Source organism: Homo sapiens, chromosome 13 (assembly GCF_000001405.40).
Source record: "Homo sapiens chromosome 13, GRCh38.p14 Primary Assembly".
Taxonomy (NCBI): Eukaryota; Metazoa; Chordata; class Mammalia; order Primates; family Hominidae; genus Homo; species Homo sapiens.
Genome location: NC_000013.11, coordinates 102,658,325 through 102,680,582, shown reverse-complemented (window position 1 = coordinate 102,680,582; position 22,258 = coordinate 102,658,325). Strand labels below are relative to the sequence as shown.

Here is a 22,258-nt window from a genome sequence, read left to right as displayed (position 1 = left end):
TTTGACTTGTCAGTACTTGAGCCAGGATTAGACAGCAGAGACCCAGGCTGGGGCTTCCAGTCATCCAGTCCCTGCACATTTCATTAGAGCTGGGGGTGGAGGGAGAAAGGGTTTGAGATTTGTGGTGCCTAAGAAGAGAAGCAGGTGGGGCTCTTCTGCGGTAAAGAGAAGTTCTCCCAGAAAGCATGCTAACATGAGGAAGGAAAGAAATCCCATGAGATGGCAAAACTCCTCCCAGTAACAATTGAGAACTGCCTCTTATTATTGGAAAGGGGCCACAGAACCAGTATTGAGCACATACCCTGTACTGTCTCTAATGGTTCTTTAAAAAGTTATTTTTACCTAGTTTTTTCAATTGTTTTCAGTGGGTGTGCAAACATTGGCTACTGTGACCAGAAACAGGAAAACTGCTTGACTTTTTGAAGTACCATCCTACTGTTTGTATTATTTTTAATGTAATCACATAGAAACAGTAATGATTTTACTGAGAACATCTTCTAGAGCTTACTTGGGTCCACTTGTCACCACAGAAATGCAGAATGAACCAGACAGGAAACAGGAGCTAACATGGCAGCTTTGTATAACTGCCTCCAGTTACAGGAGTCACAAATGAATAGGCATGGCTCTGTTCCAATAAAACTTTATTTACAAAAACAGGCAGCAGTCCAGTTTGGGTTAAAGGGCCAAACGTTACTGATTCCTGCTGTAGGTAGTACTTACCTGAAATAGCAAAACCTGGGTTGTAAAGCAAGGTCTGTAATTAATTTCCAACAGTTGATCAGCCGTATAACCTTGGGAAGTCATCCTACCTTTACTGAGCTTCTCCATTCTCTTACTGGACTAAACCTATACAAATGGGGACCTGTATGTGTGTGCAGGTGAAAGTCCATGAGTGTGTGAGAGAGAACATGCATGTAGCTTTCATGGATAGACTTTGGACCCTAGCTAGCCCAGAAGGTGTGACCAATATGCTTATACATGTATTTATGTTTCTCATAAACGCTCTAACACTTCATGAGATACAGCAGAAACAGTTGGGAGTGACTAAGGATTACTGGTAGTAATTTTAAGCAGCAGTAAATCTTAAGAGAACAAGATAAAAAAATCATACATACACACAATTTGCCATTAGATAAGGGACTGTAAACTTTTCAATACTACTTTTGTCTGTTTATTTGGTGGAGGAATGACGAGAGATGCACGTGCAGTAGCCAAAGATAAAAATAATAAAAAGTTAGATATGCACAAAAGTTAATCATACAAGAACTGGAAATACATTCAAATAATTGTAAGCCTATAAGAAACACTGTAAAATAGATTATCTTATGTTTAACTTTTTTTGTCTATGTATTTAATGTATTATTTCTGTTATAACCCCAAATTTTATTTATGAAAAATTAAGACCAACTTTAAGAAGCTTCAATATTCACTTTTATTATTTATAAAAAAAAATTAAGGTACCAGAGTGCATATGGTGTACTGTGATCTTGGTTTTGCAAATTTATTCATGTGTTTTACATTATTTCAATTTTAATAAACATATCATATGTGTATCTTTACAATACCTGATAAAGATTCAGCTGTCTGGCACTTACACATGTATTCATAGAGTTCATTCTGATGCTCTGAACCTCAAGAGGATGTGAAAATGACTTGCCTGTAATTACCCCAAGATGAAGATTTATTGAAGCAGTTATGCTCCAGCAACTGCCACTCATTTGTGCTGGTTCTACTTTTTCCCCTTAATTGAATGTAAACATTTGCCAAAAAAAAAAAAAAAAAAAAAAAATTCTGGAAATGAAGTTCTGTTAGTTTTTAGTCCAATAAATAATTTTAGCTACGCTTAATGTAGCTTTTTTAAGGCCTTCATACAATTGAAAAAAATTAAAGTTGAGCACGTTAAAACCCTGTTCATTTATAAAATAAAAAATAGTACTTTATAGGTTTGCAGTTAAAAGTTACCTTCCAAAACCTATCATGCATGTCATAAGCTGCAACCCAACTCGAAGTCCTAGGTGCTGGCAGGCAGGGCACATCCCCGTGCCAGCAATGTGAGGCATTAAGAAAACACCATGATGTCAGAGGTCTAGATTTACATGTATTAAGCCACACGTCAGTGAATTCTCTGATAAATACATGTCATTTTAATAATCAGTACTGGATAGTGGATGAAAACATGCATTAGACTAAAAATGCCACAAATTTGTTTTTATACCCATTCACTATAAAACTTCCTTTTTTAAAATTTAAAGTCTTGTTTCCTATTTTAGAATACGCAATAATCGGGAGGATACATGATGGGGAGCCAGTTTTCAGTAAAAGATGCACAATGGGTCCATCCAAGTAACTTCATCAGCTACAACAAAATACAATAATATATTATTATAAAGGAAGTGACAGATTTTTAAGCTCAGTATTTAGAATAAATTCTGTATTAAATAGTAACAGTAAGGTAGTAGCATATAGAACCTTCCTTCCACCAACCGTCACCCACCCATTGATCCTCCTTCCCACCAACCAACTTTTCTTACTATCAACCAACTTTCCTACCAACCAACCTATTGTTCTCATCATTATCCCTACCAACTGTCCTTTTCCCTCTTTCCTATTAACCTGTGTTCCTCCCTTCTTCCTTCCAACTTACTTGTTCCTTTCCTTCCTACCAACCTAAGTTCCTTTCATTCATTTTTTCTGAGTAACTATCATGTCAAACACTGGGAAAACAGCACTGAACAAATTCACCTCCCACTTTCAGGAAAAGCAAATAATAAGCAAATTAATAAATGAATAAACAAGTAATAAGATATTTATCAGGTGTACAGTAGAAATAATATTTGACACAATATAAACTAACTGGGGAGTTAGATGGTTAAGAAAGGATCTCTATGGAGGTGATACTCCAGTTGAGTTTGAATGACAAGAAATCTGTGCGAAAATCTGGGAAAGACATTCCATCCAGCCAGAGTAGTTAGTGCTAAGGTCCTTTGGTAGGAAAAGGTGTGGCTGTTTGTGCTAAGCAGAGATGCTGGTGTGGCAGAAGCAGAGTTTGTATGGGCAAGTGTGATATGAAATAAGTCTGGAGAGGTAGGCAGGGGCCTTATGGACCACTGGGGAGAGTTTGGATTTTATTCCAAATGTGATGGAGATTCAACAGCAGGTGTCAAAAGGCATCTTTTCCAGCTGCTGTGTGGAGAACAGGCAGCGGGGGGGGCAGAGTGGAGGGCAGACAAGTTAAGAAACACTCCCTGATGTGAACGTCGGCAGGGATCACTGGCTTTACAAACCTAAGTGCTCACGGATCAGATTCCACATGATGAGAACCACATTAGACATATCAACACCTGGCTCCAGAAAGAGTTCTCTTAATCTAGTCAAAGATCTGGAGGAGCTAATTTAAAATGTCTTACAATTTGGACTGACTGGTGAAGGTAAACAAAAAGCTCTAAGAGTAAATATGAATATAGCTTACTCTAATTATCAAACATTTTCAGAGGAACCTACTGATCAGTTTTACATCCAAAGGGTACCTTACATATAAAGTATAATTAACCTGGACTTGCCCTTTAGCTGAATCTGGCACCACCAAACTCCCCTGCCTTCACGTATCCTTTAGGCATAAACCAATTAAGCATGTTCAAAGACGAGGTCAGACTAAAGTAACTTCTGTAGAAATCAGCTAAATTTTTTTACTTGACAACTAACTTGTGCAGAAACCTCAACTATAAAATTTCTCTGCACATAATATTGTATATGGTAAGATAATTTTAAAAATGCCTACCATCTCAAATGAAGAATAAAATCAAATATAAACTCCAGAAGTTGAACCATTTTAGAGTTGAGGCAACATGCCTTTAAAAGGATTTGTTTCCTTCATAAAGAAAAACTGGCTTCTACGGTTACAAAATTCAAAATGCATTTGCCCTTGTTGAAAACATTTGAGGCTAGTATCAGTTTTTTGGATAGCAGTGAAAAGTGTTTTTAAAATTTAAATAGCTTATTGACTGTCTCTCATATATTTATTCTATAGTTCATATTACGCTAATTACTGTAATAACTGGTCACAATAAAACCAGTATTGCTATATCACAGTCCTAATCCTTTCTAGTTATCTTGTCACTATGCAATATCAAAGTGATGCTTAACAGTGACATTTTAAATATCACTTACTTGAATACAATTTTTCCAGTTTTCTTTTGTTGGTTTTTCTTCCACAAGTTTAGTTGCAAATTTAAGGCCTCTCCCATACATTTTATTTACTAATGCATGTTTATATGCAAATGTCAAAACCTACAATGTAAAACATGATAAAGCTTGTTTATAAAATAATTTACATTTTAAGGCATTAGCTTTAACCATAAAATTAAGGCTTTAACAGAAGTGTAGCTTTTGAAATGAATATGGTACATAGAGTACATTTTTAAAAACTTTGAAAAAGAAAATTGGTGTCTTCAAAAGAGCTGAGTATTCCACAGAATGAACCATCTGTTTTTTGGGAAGAAAACTAATATGAGAAATTATTAGCCGTGGAAATCCACTTAAAAATACCTCTTCATGCACAAGAAACCAGAGCTAACATAAATAATTACAAAGATGCAAATCAGGATAGAAATAAAAAATGCCAAAATTGCAAATGAGGATAGAAGTAAAAAAACAAGTATTAGATTATATAAACATGGTTTCTTTGGTACAAGTTTTTACCTGTAATTACTGCATCTGTCAAATATACTTATAATCATTTATATATATTTTTGGTCTCTACTTTGGAATGTGGAGAATGTACTCAAAGAAAATCCTGACACTGATTTGTATTGTAAAGGCAACTAAAGTATTTAACAATTGTTGCCATAGACACAGTAAACACAGTAAACAGGTAATAGAATGCATAGCCCCTAATATAGTAGTAGTATTGCAAAAATAGAATGATCTATAACAATTTTATTATATGTTCATCAAGTGTTTGTCAATCTCTGTTACATTCCTCAAAGACAGAAAGCAGGTTCTTATTCATCTTTATGTTTCCAGTAGTAAGTAGTGTTTGGCACATAGGCCTTCAATAATTGTTTGCAATAACAGCAAATATTGTTGGGGACTTTGCATGTACTTAATACTCATTCATCACAGCCTAAGGCAGGTCGTGTAGATAAGAAACTAAGGTATCAAAATTTTGTAAGTTGCCTAAGGTCATACATAAAAGTGGTAGAGGCAGGAGCCAAACTCAAGGGCTCTAATTTCAGATTCAAATTCCTGACCTCTGCTGCAATACTGGCTCCTTCAGTTTCCCAAATATAACTGAGTAACTGAGTACCTTCTTTAAATGCACCACTGTACTGTGTTGGAAAAATCTGAACCATATAAGAATTTTCTTCCCACTTCCAGGGTTCTTTACTGCAAATTACCAGTTAATTCTGAGAACAAGCACCTGTCTACTAAAACAAAATGATGGTCTGTGATACGCGAGGGGAATCCTACTGACTCCATTTACTTTATTTTATTTCCACAGGAAAAGAAGATTAATAACTTGTATAAACGCTATTGCAAGAATTATAGTAGAGAGCTAAAAGAGATTTAAAATGTTTTTGTAACCAAAATCCAAAAAAGTTCATCAACGATGCTTTTATGAATTGGGTTTTAAAACTGATTAGCTACAAATCAAGATGATAATTACTGAGAAATTCAAGAGTTTTGAGGAAAATAAGTAACAACTAACCAGTATGTCTCCTCAACCTGCCCCCAATCTCCTACCACCAACAAATTAGCATATAACTAGAGAAGGGTGGGCCTGAAGGCATTTTCTAGAAGACTTTCTTAATTTAGCTACATACATAACTGGTTTAACTAAAAGCCTACTACACATATTCTCAAACTGTTTTTAAAATTATTGTGGTTTAACAGCCAGTTTGCAGTACCATAAAATAATGTTTTTTAAAAAAAGGTGAGACAAACATGAAGTACTAGGCTAAACATGTCATATTCAGAGCCCAGCGTAGATTCTTTCCATTTATCTTCTTCCTCTTTTAACCAGCAATGGGGCACAAGAGAGGTCTGTGAGGTAACCCCAAGAACTTTGCTGAAACAAGAAGCAGAAACGTTACCTTATTGTCAAAGAGATCAGTCCATTTAGTAGTTTCCCAAAATGTTTCTGCCAGAGAATCCAAAGGACTTTCTCCTTCCTCCTCCTTTCCTTCTGCATCAGTGGAAATGGCTCCGTCTTGAGCCTGGGTGTGAAGAAGATGGTCTGCCAGGGCACAACCTTTCCTACAAAGGGCATCTACGAGGGTGGATTTTTGTTTGTCCATGTCACTGTACAGCAAATTAAAAAATATTTCAGATATCAGTAAAATGTCTTTAAAAGTAAATTCTTATCTGAATTTAAATTCATGTATTCTTTTGCCTAAGATTTATAATGCAGAAATACTGTATATCCAGGTACGTACAATTGTATTGTACATCAAATATGATGCCTTATTAATAAACATCAAATGAGCTACTATATTACACATATAGATTAAATGAGTTAGGGTAGCTGCACCTGGTTGAAACGGAATGCCAGAAGCAACAGAGTTGAAAGGTTAATCACTATTCTAAATTTTTTTAGCTATATAACTCTTAATCAGGTAAACGACTTTTGAGTTTTCAGTTTTCTTATAAATAGTAATCATTACACATTTGTCTATGTGTATACCCAGAGGTTATGTCTTAAAACTTTCAGTTCATGACTAGGACAAATAAATGTAATGCTTTACTCTGAATGTGCCAGCAACTGTCTCAGCATTTTAACATGTTAATTCATTCACATTCAAAACAATTCTGAGTAAGAGACTATTAATTACTGCCATGTTGCAAAGGAAGAAACTGTGGCCCAAAGAGACTATGCAATTTGTTCAAGGTCCTCCAGTTAGGAAGTGGCAGATCCAGGATTCTAAGCTTAGCAGTAGAAATCTGTAATCTGTGCTCTTAATCACTACGGCACATTGCCTTGATCCAGGGCAGACATCTTTGTTTTCTTCAATGCATTCCACGTGCCTAGGACAATGCCCGGCACAGAATGGAAACTCAATAAATCATTGCTGAATGAAATACAACCACCACCTACACTCCAGGGAAAAGTGTTAGTCTCTAGAATGTGTGCTTATTTGAGGCATTCTGTCCAACTTATGTCAGATACACGTGAAAACAATGAGGACTAAAAGTACTGAGAAAATGATGATGATTGAGGCACTTAGCTGTGGAACAAACTAACAGCTAAGAGTGACTCTGAAAGACTCAGAGTGAAATGTGTAGCATGTGAAAACTGCCGGGACTGTACCATCAACAAGGATCCGCAGTAGGAAAGACAGCCATCAACCCAACAACTTGAAGGCTCAAGGGCTCACCCACATTAATCCTGCGCACCAAGGAGTCCTGTTAATCTAAGAGGCCGCATGGCAGGGAACATGAACGCTAAGTACCATAGAAAATGCCGCTGCTGAAACATTGCCCAAGACCGGGGTATTCTCAGAGGTTCAAAGCCCATTTGATCCTGTACCTTGAAAGTGGGCAGGGAGGCAATGTGGGTAGTAGAGAAATTCCTTCACACTGGCAGAGTTCATCAAAGAGGGCAATTACCAACCCCAATACATTTGCAATGTAAATGAAACTATGCCTAAAAGATCCCTCAGTGCTTCTCAGCACAGTGCCTCAAAGCTTGAAGAACCAACTTTCACTGCCTTTTTGTAGAGATGTTTCTGGGTACTGCTTGTTTACACTGGAATTAAGAAGAAAAGGATTTACAAGTAGACTTTTGGGACTTCCAAGCTGTGGGGCATCTGCATGGCTTGCCATTGCCTGATCCACCCTCCTTCCCCCTCCTCTTAGATGCCAGGTGCCATCCTTAAATGTCTTCTCAGCAGTCCTTTGCTTATGCCTTCCAACAATCCAAGGTGTCGGGCACAACTACTATCCTGATTTTGTGAAGGAGAAAGGGGCTTGGAACAGCAATGGGTTGACAAGGCAGGTTTCCACACCCAGGCTGATACTTGTAGATTGGTCAGGGTGGTGGGTAAAAGTTAGAGGGAAAGATGCAAACCTTCTTGGAAGGCCGCGAGGTTTTGCAAAAGCTTCGAAAGAGGATTTGGCTGAAGGCAGTCAAATTCTCTTATCCGGAGCCTGAGAGCAAACGGCAGATAACAATGGAATGTAAAGAAACTTATCTAGATAAATTGGTTTCCTCCTGTCCCCAAAACCCAACCTCTGATCATTCACAAGCAGGACTGCTTTCTACTTGGGGGGTCGACAATGTTTGTTACCCACAAATTGTGTTTGCTCCAAGCTTTTGTCATTAATTCTGTACTAAATAAATGCGAGCATCACTGGCTTAGGGGGACTGCTAACTCTCTTCGGCCCCTAGTGCCGGCAGTCCCTAGCCTGCTGTTTCACTGGATACCTGTGTCTGAGTACTCCTTTCCTTTCATCTGTCACTCGGCCATAGTCTGAGGGACAGACTTGGCAGGTGGTGCCCCATGAGAGGAACGCTGCAATGGATCACAATGGAACCCTCGAAAATGAAGGTGAAGAGACTGCGCAGTCAGTAAGTCACTGGTGCCCGCTTGGGATTTCCAAGTTCGAGGGAATTGTTCAGGCTAGGGTTTCATCATGGGACAACAGTTATCAGCTCAACAGCAACAGTATATAAAAGTAATGAAACAGCTGCTTAAAGCTAGTGGAGGCTCGGTTTCGCAGGCTCAATTAAGGGACCTAATGCAAACTGTTGTTTCCCATAACCCATGGTTCCTCCCCCTTCTCCCTCAGCCCCGCTGTTACCGGGCAAAGATAACAAAGAGGAAACGGAGGTTTTGCCTGAGCCCCGTCCTCCAATAAATTGGAGAAAAGACAAGGAATATGCTACAGCTATGGGACCCTGTCTTAGGCAAGCGGCATTAGAAGGGGAGCTCTTGGCCTGCCTGGTAACGCAAAATTGACAACACAATCAGGTGTATGAACCCGTTACTTTTAACGCTTATAAAGAGATAAGGAAAAGCATTAAAGAAAACGGAGCCGCTAGCCCATTTACAAGAGGGTTGAGGTCACTCTGCAGATCTCTTTCTAATAATGGCCACTGTTGTTTCTCCCCTACCCCTGATGAGGCTCTCTCAAAATCTTATTTAGGTAGAACAGTGACCTTTAAAGGGAGAGAAATTACAAAGAGCCCATGAATTAGCTGAGGAACAATTAAAAGCCAGCCATATACAACTGTCAAACAGCCCTTGGAATTTGCCCATTTTCCTCATTCCCAAAAAGTCTGGCAAATGGAGACTTTTGCATGACTTACGGGCTATCAATGCTAATTTGCAACCTATGAGGCCCCTACAACAGGGCCTCCCTTCCCCAGCGGCAATTCCTGTAGTTTGACCTATAGTCTTATTGACTTAAACGACTGCTTTTATACTATTCCCCTTGCAGAACAGGACAGAGAAAAATTTGTGTTTAAAATACCAGTTATCAATAAAGGCCAGCTCGCCAATTTCATTGGAAAGTACTTCCTCAAGGAATACTGTGTCAGTATCATGTAAATCAGGCTTTGCTCCCCATTAGAAAAGACTTTCCTAATTGCAAGATTATTCATTTTATGGATGATATTTTACTAGCAGCTCCAACGGAGCCAGGACTTGTAAGTCTATATGCCTCTGTCGTAAAGAATACACAGTTAAGAGGTTTAATCATAGCACCTGAAAAAGTACAATTGTCTTCTCCTTAGAAATATCGTGGATACATTCTAACTTACCGGTCAGTAAGACCTTAAAAAGTTAAATACTAGCAACTTACACACATTAAATGATTATCAGAAATTACTAGGAGATATTAACTGGCTTCACCCCACCTTGGGCATAACTGATACATTACAAAACCTGTTTCTATCCTAAAGGGCAATACAGCCCTAGACTCTCCCAGGTATTTAACTCCTGCAGCAAAAAGGGAAATTGAGGAAATAGAGCATGCTATTTTTCAGAGGCAACAGGATTGCACAGACCCACGATATTCAATATTCAGTTCAATTGTTTGTTTTTCCTACTAAGCATTCCCCAACAGGATTAATAGGACAGATGTCCCCAGGGCTATGCTTCCTAAAATGAGTTTTTTGCTCACATACCAGAACTAAAACTCTATCTCCCTGTACCCAGCTAGTTAGTAAAACCATCTATTTAGGCCGCAGATGATGCAATCAGTTGCTAGGTTATGACCGTGATGTCATCGGAAGTCCTTTAAGTAAAAAGCAATTCAAAGCAGTCTTGCCCTTATCTCTAGACCTGCAAATAGCACTCTCTGATTACAAAGGCCATATAGAACATGCCCTTCCTGCCAATAAACTACTTCAGTTATTATCTAGTACTCCTGTAGTTATGCCTACAAAAGTGGTTCACCGCCACACCCCCCCACCCACAATACCTAATTCTTTAATGCTTTTTATTGACGGCTCTGGTAAAAATGGAAAAGTGGTTATTTGGTGGAGACTGCACAATTCCCTCACTTGTTCTGGATTTACTAACACTCAAGAAAGCTGAGGTTGGAGCCTTAATACTGGCCCTAGAGACCTTTCCTGCTCAGCCAATCAATATGGTTAGTGACTCTGCTTACTCTGTTTATTTATTGCAGAACCTTGAAACAGCCCTTATTAAGTCCACTCTCAAGCCCACCCTGTGTGCAGTTTTTCTTTGATTTCAGCAATCGGTGGATCAATGTACACATCCTATTTTTATTACATACATTTGGGCCCACAGCTCACTGCCTGGCCCCCTAGCTTATGGCAATGATCAAGCAGACCTGCAGGTTATGACATCACTGCTTGACCAAGCCACCCATTCGCATCAATGTTTCCACCAAAATTGGACAAATTTATCTAAACGATTTCAACTTACCCAAAGACTAAACAAATTATCCTGCAATGCCCAAATTGCCAGCTCACACGCATGTCCCCTCCTTCAACAGGTGTTAACCCTAGAGAACTAGAACCTAATCAGTTATGGCAAACAGATGTTACACACATCCCTAAATTTGGAAAACTAGGATATGTACATGCATCCGTTGATACCAATTCTCACCTAATTAGCATACATGCTCTTCCTGGAAAGTCTGCTCAATATGTTATTAAACATCTTCTTTTAACTTTTGCATTTATGGAGCGGCCCACAAAAATTAAAACTGATATTGGTCCAGCTTATGCCAGCTCAAAATTTCAGCAATTTTGTCATATGTGGAACATCCAACAATCCACAGGCATCCCTCACAACCCCCAAGGACAGGCCACAGTAGAACGTGTCCAATCCACCCTTAAAAATATGCTCAGAAAACAACAAAAAAGTGAATATGAGTAAGGACCCTGCAACACTACTGGCAGAAGCCTTATTTACCCTTACTTTTTAAAATCTAAACGATAAATTTCAATCAGCTATAGAAGAGCATTTTGCTAAAACCTCTCAAGACATAAACCTGCAGTTTTATGGAAAGATATAAACAGTAATGTATGGTGCGGTTCAACTGAATTGTTAACACTGGGAAGAAGACATGCTTGTGTTCACACCCCCTCAGGTCCTCTTTGGATTCCAGCACGAGGCATCAAACCATACCATAGCGTGGCTAGGACCCAACCCGGTACCAGAAATGAAGAAAATGACCCTGTGGGACCCATAGCCCTGGATGATGCAGCTTCTTCAGACGACACAAACCCCAGACATTACCTGGGAGATGTTGAAGAAAACTCAGAAGGCTGAATGAATCCTGCTCTGGACATAGACACCATTCACTCCAGATAATTTGTTCCTTGCTATGCTTTCCGTTGTACACTGCAACTCTTTTGGGTATTAACCCTTCTTATTCTCTCACTCTGCCTGCAACCCATACCTGCTACACGCTATTGGGATCATCATTTAGATTTGCCTTTCTTCTGCCCTGTTACCTGGGCAGACACCACCTTCCCAGCCTCCAATAAAGTAACTGCTTGGCTGGAAGGGGGTAACATACCCTCAGTGGGGTTCCTTAGTAACAGCACACATTGGACTGAGGTGCCAAGAAACACTACATGTCACTCCTTGATTGGAAAAGAATGTTACTGATTATACTCATTTTGTCTTATGTTATTTACTAATTCTAGGATGCAAAGCTGGAATACAAGCAGTAACCACTACGCCAGACAAACCAGTTGCTGCACACATCTGTACTCTTCAATCAACAAAACCTGATGCAAAAAAACAGAAAATGGGGAGATGTAGGAAATTGGTCAGAGTGGTAGGTAAAAGTTAGAGGGAAAGATGCAAACCTTCTTGGAAGGCTGGGAGGTTTTGCAAAAGCTTTGAAAGAGGATCTGGCTGAAGGCAGCCAAATTCTCTTATCTGGAGCCAGGGAGCAAAAGGCAGATAACAAGGGAATGTAAAGGAACTTATCTAGATAAATTTGTTTACTCCTGTCTCCAAAAACCAACCTTTGATCATTTGCGCTAGACAAATTTGACTACTCCTGTCTCCAAAAACCAACCTTTGATCATTCATGTGCAGGACTGCTCTCTACTTGGGGGTCGACAATGTTTATTACCCACAAATTGTGTTTGCTCCAAGCCTTTGTCATTAAATCTCTACTAAATAAATGTGAGCGTCGCTGGCTCAGGGGGACTGCTAACTCTCTTTGGCCCTTAGTGCTGGCAGTCCCCTAGCCCACTCTTTCACTGGATACCTGTGTCTGAGCACTCCTTTCATCCGTCGCTCGGCCAGAGTCTGCAGGGCAGACTCGGCAAATGCTGCCTGATGGATCCTGGCTGCCCAGAGAAGGGCTGGAATGATGCAGAAATCAGAAGGCAACCTGGGGGTGACACAGGTAATCTGCATTTGTCAGACCTGGGTTAAATTAGCTGTAAGATCCCTTTCTATTTTAGCATCCTCTTATCACGTAATCTAAATTCTACATATCTGGAGTATTCCTTTCCTCTCCTTAGGTTTTGTACTGACTGGCTGAGATTGAATACCTTTATAGTACATGAGGCTTTTTCCACTCAGGTGAAAGTCAGCTTTTCTTTCTACAGGCTTTTACAATTTGAAATATTTATTTAAAAATACTTGTATTTCATTATCTCTTAATAATTTCCTATCTGGCAATTTCATCTTCTATATTAGATGATAAGTTTCATAAGAGTAGAGACTATCTTGCTCATGTTTTAAGTCCTTGTCAGTGATGCCTTACATGAAGTATTTGCTCAATAAGGACCTTGAAATCAAATCTAGTTAGGTATCCATCAAGATAATAGCTACATTTTAGGAAGCAACTTAATTGGAATCAGTATTTTAATGCCTAAATAAGTGCAGTTTAAATTTAACTAAAACATGATATTAACTAAAAGTTAATATTTTTTAAGATTAGAAAATGGCATTTTACAATTTTTGATGTTACTGATTTAAGAGAAAGCAATTTTGCATGGAAATGAGAAATTAATGCTTAAGTTGGCTGCTACTTGCCCATAGATGACATCTGTAAGAAATGCTAAGTATTTCCTGATAGCATCTTGTATAATATTTCAACTCTGAATACTGTCTTCTGTCCAAACACAACCTGGTCAGAGTCTATTTCAGTCAGGCCAAAGCAAAGGCCTGGAGAGAAATAGAAATTCTTTAATTACAAGGATAAACAAGTTGACCCAGTGTCGCTAAAAACTTAAAGCAGCTCCACTCTTAGCGTTTTTACAAAGTTTTATGGCTTCTTTTCTAGTTTTATCCCAGCTTATTTCAATAGCCATGATAGTCAATGTCTAGTAATCTCCAAAGAGTAGAAACTAAAAAAAAAAAAAAAAAAAAAAAAAGAGATTAAAAACAGTGATAAAGACCAATAAGAAAACAAAACTAATATCGTATTAGTTTATGGCTCACTGTAAGCTGAGATTGAGTTTCCTCTGTGGATGGTAAAACTGAGAAAACCATATGTGTTATTTCATGTAACACCCGAGTTTGAGAAAATCATATTATTTTCACAAAATGTAAAAAATAACAAAAGCTAGAAAGTATATGGGATAGTTAATGTCGGGGGCTGCAGAGAGCTCAAAGAAGACTCAAAATGGGCCATTCTTTTTAGCAACTGGTTATCACTGGTGATCTGTGGAAGACAGTTTTAAAGTGACCAAGGCCAGCCTCCTCTTGCAATAAGATTAACAATGATCACCCTGAGACAGAAAGGAACACAATGAGGATGGGTGGGAGGCAGACGATGCTCCTTTTTCTGTGAGATAATACTGAGTTATGTTAACCTTCTCAAGAAGGGAGAAGAATATACAGAGAAAAGAAAGGGCATTGGCTGTGGAGGCAGATCCTGATTTGACTATGTGCTTTCCAACTTCCTAGCAGTGGCACCTGGGCCAAGTCATCTAAACTCTCTGAACTTCAGTTTTCTCTTCCTTAAAAGGGGGATACAAAGGCCCCTGCCTTCCATGTTGTTTGGAAGACTAAATTTAAATAAAACAATGTATTTAAAATGCCCTCAATAGTCCCTTATACATAATCGGCACTTAATAAATGGTGGCTGTATTTTCTGTTATTATTAACAACAACAACAAAATGGCAATGTTTTGAGACTATTCTTTTGAAAAATATGAAAAGGTAATAATAGTGGCCAAAGAAGCAATTTTAAATATATTCTATCCCACTTGAAAATTATTGCTTGTAAGATTCATAAGATCCTATAGTATCAATATAAATGATATAATGGAAAGAATTCTAGCAGTTTGGAATCCAAGTATTTTATGTAGAAAAAAATACTGACTGAAACTGAGAAAATTTTTAAGGAAAATTTAGTATTTTCAGGTAGCCTGAATAGTTTTGGTTTATTAGTTATAATAACCACAAAAGAATCAGGATATTTCTACCTAGTTAATGATCCTGTAAGTCAAAAATAAACAAAAGTGATAAACAAGTAACTGACACTGGGAGAGCTACCATGAGGTGATGGTTTAAGAGTTCATGGAAGGGTGAAAGTGACCAAATGGCAGCTTGGTTCAGAGTCACTGGACCATTAATTACACCAACATACGGAAATCACACTTGCATGGAAGGAACCATACCAACCACTCATAAACCCAGGGAAGCTTCTCTATTTACACACAGCATTAGGTTTTATAAAGGCAAAACTATAAATTCTCTCCTCCTATTCTCCCTAATACTATAAAACCAGTTTCATAAAAGTTGCCAGATAGTTTTAACCTAATTTTATTATCATTTATTTCACTACAAACCACGTATTAGGTTTGTCATGTAATTATTACAAACCAAATATTAGGTTTTTCATGTTACTGGACAATAAACATTTTAAAAATTATTTTATAGATTGTTAATTTTTGTCTTCCTGATATGGTCCAATTCACATAAACCCTCAAGTGGTTGGACTGCTTGATCACAGATATTCAAATCCCTCTACCTTGACAGCACTTAACAGTAGAGAAGGCAAACTACTTTTCTTGGGCTTACTCTTAAAAAGATTGGACAAAATTATTTTAAAATTTCTAAGGAGGGGAGTATCCAAATAGTGATAATTCCCATTATAAGGATATAACAAACATCAGAAAAGCAATATCCTCTATAATATTAGTCCCTACTTTTTAAACAAGTTAACTAGGAAATGAGATGCAAGAAAGATTATTTACTGGTTAGGTACTTTTTTATAGTAGCTGCATCAGGCCTGGGATCAGTCTTCATTGCAATATAAACTGCTAGGGCTGTTTGATCTATATGAGAAATAACAGCATTTGCCGCATCAACAATTTCATTAAGTCTTTTCATTCGTTCCTGGAGAGGAAAAAAGAAATAATAAAAAATAGGTATATCAATCAGTATACGAAAGCAATTTCACTTCTGCTGTCTCAACCATGAGACCTACAACTGCAGTGTGAGTAAACTATGTAATTGACTTGTAGCCCAGGGGCTCCCTGCTATCTCCTACTGTGATTTTTCTAATTGCTGGTATCTCTATAAAACTTGAGCTCAGATGCATAATAAAAATACCTTATTTACATTCCCTGCTGGAGTACAATGGTGAGAGTAAGCAAAATATAAACTTCATAAAAATGTAAAGTTTTTTTTTTAACAAAGGTAACTCCTTTTCTGTATTTCTTAAGATTCTAGAAATGTGATTGGCTATTGTCATTACTCTAGTTGCACACTACCTGAACACAGGAAAAAAAAAGAAAGCCCTAGCTGATGAAACCATTTCTTTCTGATCCATCATGAAAAACACAAAGATGAGAGTAAACATTATAATCAACAGTCTAACTGTGATTACCATGATGTTCCCAACAATTTGCTTCTCTCTTGTTAAAGTCTTTTAAGAAATCTCCTTTAAATACCCTCTGGTTCACTCTAAACCCTTGATGATTTTCAACTGATTAGGACAGCACTTTCCCACTGCTTTGATGAATAATGAGAACTGGTCCATGTCATGACAGACTAGAACTATGGCCAACTCTCACAAATGAGAATCATTAACAAAGTTAATGCAAAGTAGGAATTCTTTCAGTGAAGGCGTTCAGATTTCCATCTGGCCAGGATTACTACGTTCTGCCCCTTGCCCTTTAGGTTAAGGTCATGAAAACAATCGTTAAGGTATCTTCTCTATTACTAATCTCATTGACCAAGCATGAGCAAGAATCCTAAACTAAACTCACAGTAGTGGCTAGGTCTTATAATAACCTTCATGAAAACAGCTTAACACAACATTCAATTTGAGAAAACATGTTTTAGTTAGCAAGAACAGAAGAGAAAGATAATGCACTTTTCCTCAAAACACAAACTTATATAATTACAAACAAAATAAGATATATCAGAATGAACATGTCTAACCTTTTCAGCATCCAATTGATGAAGTCGTGCAACGTACAGAGGAAGATAATTAGGATATGTTTCTTTCAATTCGTTATAAATGTCACTAGAATCCAGCCTATGTATGTAAGAAGGAGAGAAATATTTACTTTTTTCTTTTAAAAAGACTATTTGTCTTCTCTATTATTTAACATTGTTTGGAAGTTTAAGCCAATAAAATAAGACATTAATTTGAAATACAAGTATAGTCATTGACAAGGATTATCATTATTGGCAAGTAGTATAAATGGTTAACTAGAAAACAAAAATAAATCAAACTGGGCTGGGCATGGTGGCTCACCCCTGTAATCCCAGCACTTTGGGAGGCCAAGGCAGGCGGATCACAAGGGCAAGAGATCAAGACCATCCTGGCCAACATGGTGAAACCCCGTCTCTACTAAAACTACAAAAATTAGCTGGGGGTGGTGGCACATGCCTGTAGTCCCAGATACTCGGGAGGCTGAGGCAGGAGAATCACTTGAACCTGGGAGGCAGAGGTTGCAGTGAGCCGAGATCAAACCACTGCACTCCAGCCGGGTGACAGAGTGAGACTCCATCTCAAAAAATAAATAAATTAATTAATTAATTAAAAAAAATAAATAAATAAATCAAACTGAAAATTATTCCAATTAAGAGTTCAATAAGATATCCAAATAAAAATATGCATCAATAGCTTTCTTACATACCAGCTATTATATTTATTTAAAAGGAAGAAAAGCATATTCACAAATAGCTAGAAAGATTAAAAGATTTAAAAATGTCTCAGATCTATTAAACTTTTCTGAAAATTCTAGAAAAAATAAAAATTTAAACTTTTCTGAAAATTCCAGTCTTGAGTCAATAAAGAGTTATTCTATGTTCCCCGACGCGGAGGCTGAATAAAATTCCCAATTCTACCTGATTATATGTATCAGGATAAAAACAAATTAACATACAAACTAGCACCAGAAGTGGGTAACTTACATTAAAGTCACTTAATATATTAACAAAACTGCACAGTAGTATAAAAATAAGGTTGACCGGGATTTTGATACTATAACTAACTTTCTATGAAAATAAATTTAACTTGTAGACAACAAAATTTACACTAATTCTTAGTACAAAAAAAATTAAGTCCTGTTTTTCTCTTTTCGCTAACAATTATCCAAGGGCAAAATCAACACTTTCGTTTTACATTTTAAAACTACTGCACCTTAATTATAAATTTTTTTTTCCAAAAAATGTTCTAAGGTTTTTAAAGTTTTGCTAGGGAATGCTAATAATTTTTTGCTGTTTTCTTCTAAAACACCTATTAGGTAAACAACCTTTTCAATTTTTTCTCCATACAATTTTCCCATTTTAAGTGTGAATTTCAATGCTTTCTAGCATAGTAACAGATATATGTAACTATCACAACAGTCAACTTTAAAACATTTTTCATCAATACAAAAAGAAACCGCCATACCCTTTTGCTATCAGATCTCCCCAGCCTCCCCAGCACTAAGCAACCACTAATCTACTTTCTATCTCTATAGATTTCCTCATTCTGGACATTTAATATGAATAGAATCATATAATACATGGTCTTTTTGTGACTGGCTACTACCACTTAACATACTATTTTCAAGGTGCATTCATGTTGGAGCATGTATTAATCCCATTCATGGCTGAAAAGGAATCCCCTGTATGGATACACCACATTTTGTTTGTCCATTCATCAGCTGATGGACATTCCACCTTTTGGCCATTATGAATAATGCTGCTATAAACTGTCATCAACATGTTTTTGTGTGAATATAGGTTTTTATTTTTCTTGGGTATATACCTGGGAGTGGAACTGCTGGGCCATATGGAAACTAAGTTTAATCATTTGAAGAGCAGTCAAGATTGTTTTCCAAAAAGTCTGCATCATTTTTGTATTCTTACCATCAGTGTCTGAGGATTCTGCTTTGTCCACATACTTGCCAAAACTCATCATCTGACTTTATGATTCCAGTCATCCTAGTAAGTGTGAAGTTGTATTTCATTGTGATTTTGATGTGCATTTCCCTGAAGACTAACGATTTTGAGCATTTTTTCATGCACTTACTGGTCATTTGTACATCTTTATAGAAATATCTATTCAGATTACTCACCCATTTAAAAAATTGAGCCATTTGCCTTTGTATTATGAAATTGTAGGAATTATTTATATATTCTGGGGGCTGGGTGTGGAGGTGGCTCATGCCTGTAATCCCAACACTATGGGAAGCTGAAGCAGGAGGATTAATTGAGGCCGGGGGTTCCAGACTAGCCTGGGCAACATAGTGAGATCCCATCCCTTAAAAAAATAAGCTGGGGGTGGTGGCGTGCACTTGTAGTCCTAGCTACTTGGGAGGCTGAAGTGGGAAGATCCCTTGAGCCCAGGGGTTCAAGGCTGCAGTGAGCTATGATCGTGCCACTGCAGTCCAGCCTGGGTGACAGAGAGAGACCCTGTCTCAAAAAAAAAAAAAAAAAAGGTTAGCGTTCTTTATATATTTTGCATACAAGCTCCTTACAAATATGTAACTTGCAAATAGGCCGTTCTTTTCACTTTCTTGATGCTATGCTAAAAGCACAAAAGCTTTTAATCTTGATTAAGTCCAAATTATCTATTTTTTTTTCTTATGTTACTTATGCTTTTGGTATCTTTAAAAATCTTTTGCCAAATATAAGGTCATGAAAGTTTACCACTACGTCTCATTGAGTTTTGTAGTTTCAGCTCTTTGATACATTTTGAGTTAACTTGTATATATGATGTGAGGCAAGGGTCCAACTTCATTCTTTTTCTATATGGCTATCCAGTCCCAGCACCCTTTGCTGCAAATACTATCCTTTCCTCATTAAATGGTCTTTGCATCAGCACCCTTGCCAAAACTAAAAATTAGCTGACCATAGTCACATGGTTTTATTTCTGGACTCTTAATTCTATTCCACTGATCTATATATGTCTTACCCTTGTGCCAGTATAACACTGTCTTGTTTACTGTTGCTTTCTATTTAAGTTTTGGAATCAGGAAGTGTGAGCCCTACTTTGCTCTTCATTTTCAAGACTGTCTGGCTATTCTGAGTCTCAGGGAATCACATATGACTTTTAGAATCAGCTTGTTAATTTCTATAAAAGGATCCTGATGGGGATTCAACTGAATCATTCGATCAATATGAAGAATAGTGTAATGATATTAAGTCTTCTGGTCCACAGACAAAGAATACCTTTTCCATTTACTCAGGTCTTTTAAATTTCTTTCAACAATTGTTTTGTAGTTTTGACGTATAATTCTTACATCTCTTGTTAAACATGTTCCTACACATTTTATTTTTTTCAATGTTACTGTAAATGGGATTCTCTTAATTTCCTGTAAACTTTAAATTATTGATATATTTGGACTTAGGTCTTCGATTTTATTTTTTGTTTTTGATGTATCCTGTTTTTTTGTTCCACTGTTCCTCCTATACAGCTTTCTTTTGTATTAAGTGAATATTTTTAAATGAACATTTAAATTTATTTAATGATTTTTTTCAAGTTCATTTTTATTTTTTTTTTAGTGGTTGCTCTAAGGCTTACCATATACATCTTAACTTATAAGAATCAGCTTCAGATTTTTCCTAGCTTAATTTCAGTGAGATACAGAAATGTTATCCCTTTATAGCTCTATTCCCCTCTCCTTCCTTCTGTAGTAGTATTCTATCTGTTGTATCTATTACTGTAATACACCAATTAATTAACTGTTATAATAATTACTTTACTATCTGCAGTCATTTTTTTAGCCCAATACAGTTTTGCTCCTTTGTGCTATAAGCAAATACATATTACAGAATATTACATTTAAATATTACATAGGCCTAATATATACACAATATTTACAGAACTGCTTTTTAAATTAGTTAACAGGAAAAAAATGAGAACTTTATGCTGTCTTTTATAATTCCATAATAATTAACTTTACCAGTGTTTCTTTCCCCACTCTCACCAATGTGGATTCAAATTACTGCCAGAGATCACCTGCTTTCAGGCTGAATAACTTCTTTTAGTACTTCTTATAAGGTGGGTTTGCTAGCAACAAATTCTCTGTTTTTGTTTACCTGGGAATTATTTCATTTTCATTTTTAAAGGACAGTTTTGCTGGATATAGGATTATTGGTTGAGATTTTTGAGCACTCTGAATATATTATCCCACTGCTTTCTGACCTCTACTGTTTCTGCTCAGAAGTCAGTTGTTAACCTTACTAGCATTTCCTTGTAAGTGATGAGGAGTTTTTGTCTTGCTCCTCTCAAGATCTTCTCCTTATCTTTGACTTTCAGTATTTTTAACATGCTATGTCTATTTGTGGATTTCTTTGCATTTACTTTGAGTTCATTGAGTTCCCTGGATATGTAGGTTAATGTCTTTCAATAAATATGGGGTGTTTCCAGCCATTATTTCACTGAATATATTTTTGCTTTCTCTCTGTTCTCCTGGTACTCCTGTTCCATGGACTTTGGTGCACTAATGGTGTCCCACATTTCTCTGAGGCTCTGCTCTGTTCATTTTTTTCATTCCTTTTTTCTCCACTGTTTTTGAGAGAGCCCTTAAGGCACACGGACTTCTCCATCTTCTGTTGCAAATGAAGTCAATTCCTTCAGCAAGAAATTAGGAGCTATCAGTTTTATGAACTCCTTAGGCCACACTGGCAAAATCACTAAGCCCAAGCTCTGGAACAGGGAGTGGAAGAATGGCATGTTTTTCTTTGAGTGACACCCCCACTTAAGGAGCTTAGCACTCTCCTGTGGTCTTCTCAGCTTGCCTCGTGTGGTATGGAACCACAGCCTCCTGGGCATTGGGGCCCCAGTGTTCCCAACAGTACTTTACAAGAGAGCCCCTACCTCTTGAGAGCACTCAGCTGGAACTGAGCCGCTGCAACTGGCAGTAGGTCAGGATGAGAAATGATGACGTCCTCCTCCTCCAAGGAGGAAAGCCTTCCCTCCCCCAGGAGCTGGAGCTCTTGAAGGCAAGATCTGAAGTAAAATTTCTGGCTCATTAACTGGGAGAGGAAAGGGAGGCAGTGGTCTTGGTTCAAATATCACAGACTCTTGCTTTTCTTATCCAATTCTTGTAGGTATTTTTGAATAGATGCTTCTTCATTTGCTCAATGTCCTTTGGACCATTTCCAGAGGCTTTAAAAAGTTGTTTTGTTTTGTTTTTAAATAATTTTCACTAGTTTTACTGGGGACCAGCATCATGGGTCTCCTCAGGCTGTCATGCCAGAAGACAATCTCTGCAATTTTACTTTTGAAGAATTTATATTATATTGTCAACTGTTTATGACATCCTAAAATCAGGCAGAGACAGACCTGAAGACTTTGACTTCCAGTGGAGATACAATTTAGTTTTAAGTGGGAAAGGTATATTTGCAAGTGAACTGAC

The 22,258-nt window shown here is 37.4% G+C and overlaps 1 protein-coding gene across 8 annotated transcripts in view; it reads right to left on the bottom strand.

Moving 5' to 3' along the window:
- TPP2 (tripeptidyl peptidase 2) overlaps window positions 625–22,258 on the bottom strand; it is an 82,973-nt gene continuing 61,339 nt past the window's right edge. For 2 of the 8 annotated variants that reach the window (XM_005254070.3, NM_001367947.1), the window contains 6 exons: window positions 16,839–16,935; window positions 15,658–15,788; window positions 12,700–12,825; window positions 6,093–6,300; window positions 4,168–4,287; window positions 625–2,356 (listed from right to left, as the gene is read on the bottom strand). In XM_005254070.3, the coding sequence (XP_005254127.1) occupies window positions 2,267–2,356; window positions 4,168–4,287; window positions 6,093–6,300; window positions 12,700–12,825; window positions 15,658–15,788; window positions 16,839–16,935 (772 nt within the window). In that variant the 3' untranslated portion in view covers window positions 625–2,266. Of the gene's footprint in view, window positions 2,357–4,167; window positions 4,288–6,090; window positions 6,301–12,699; window positions 12,826–15,646; window positions 15,789–16,838; window positions 16,936–22,258 lie in introns of those variants that run through there. The other 6 variants (NM_001330588.2, NM_003291.4, NR_160411.1 and 3 more) reach the window with 5 other exon arrangements.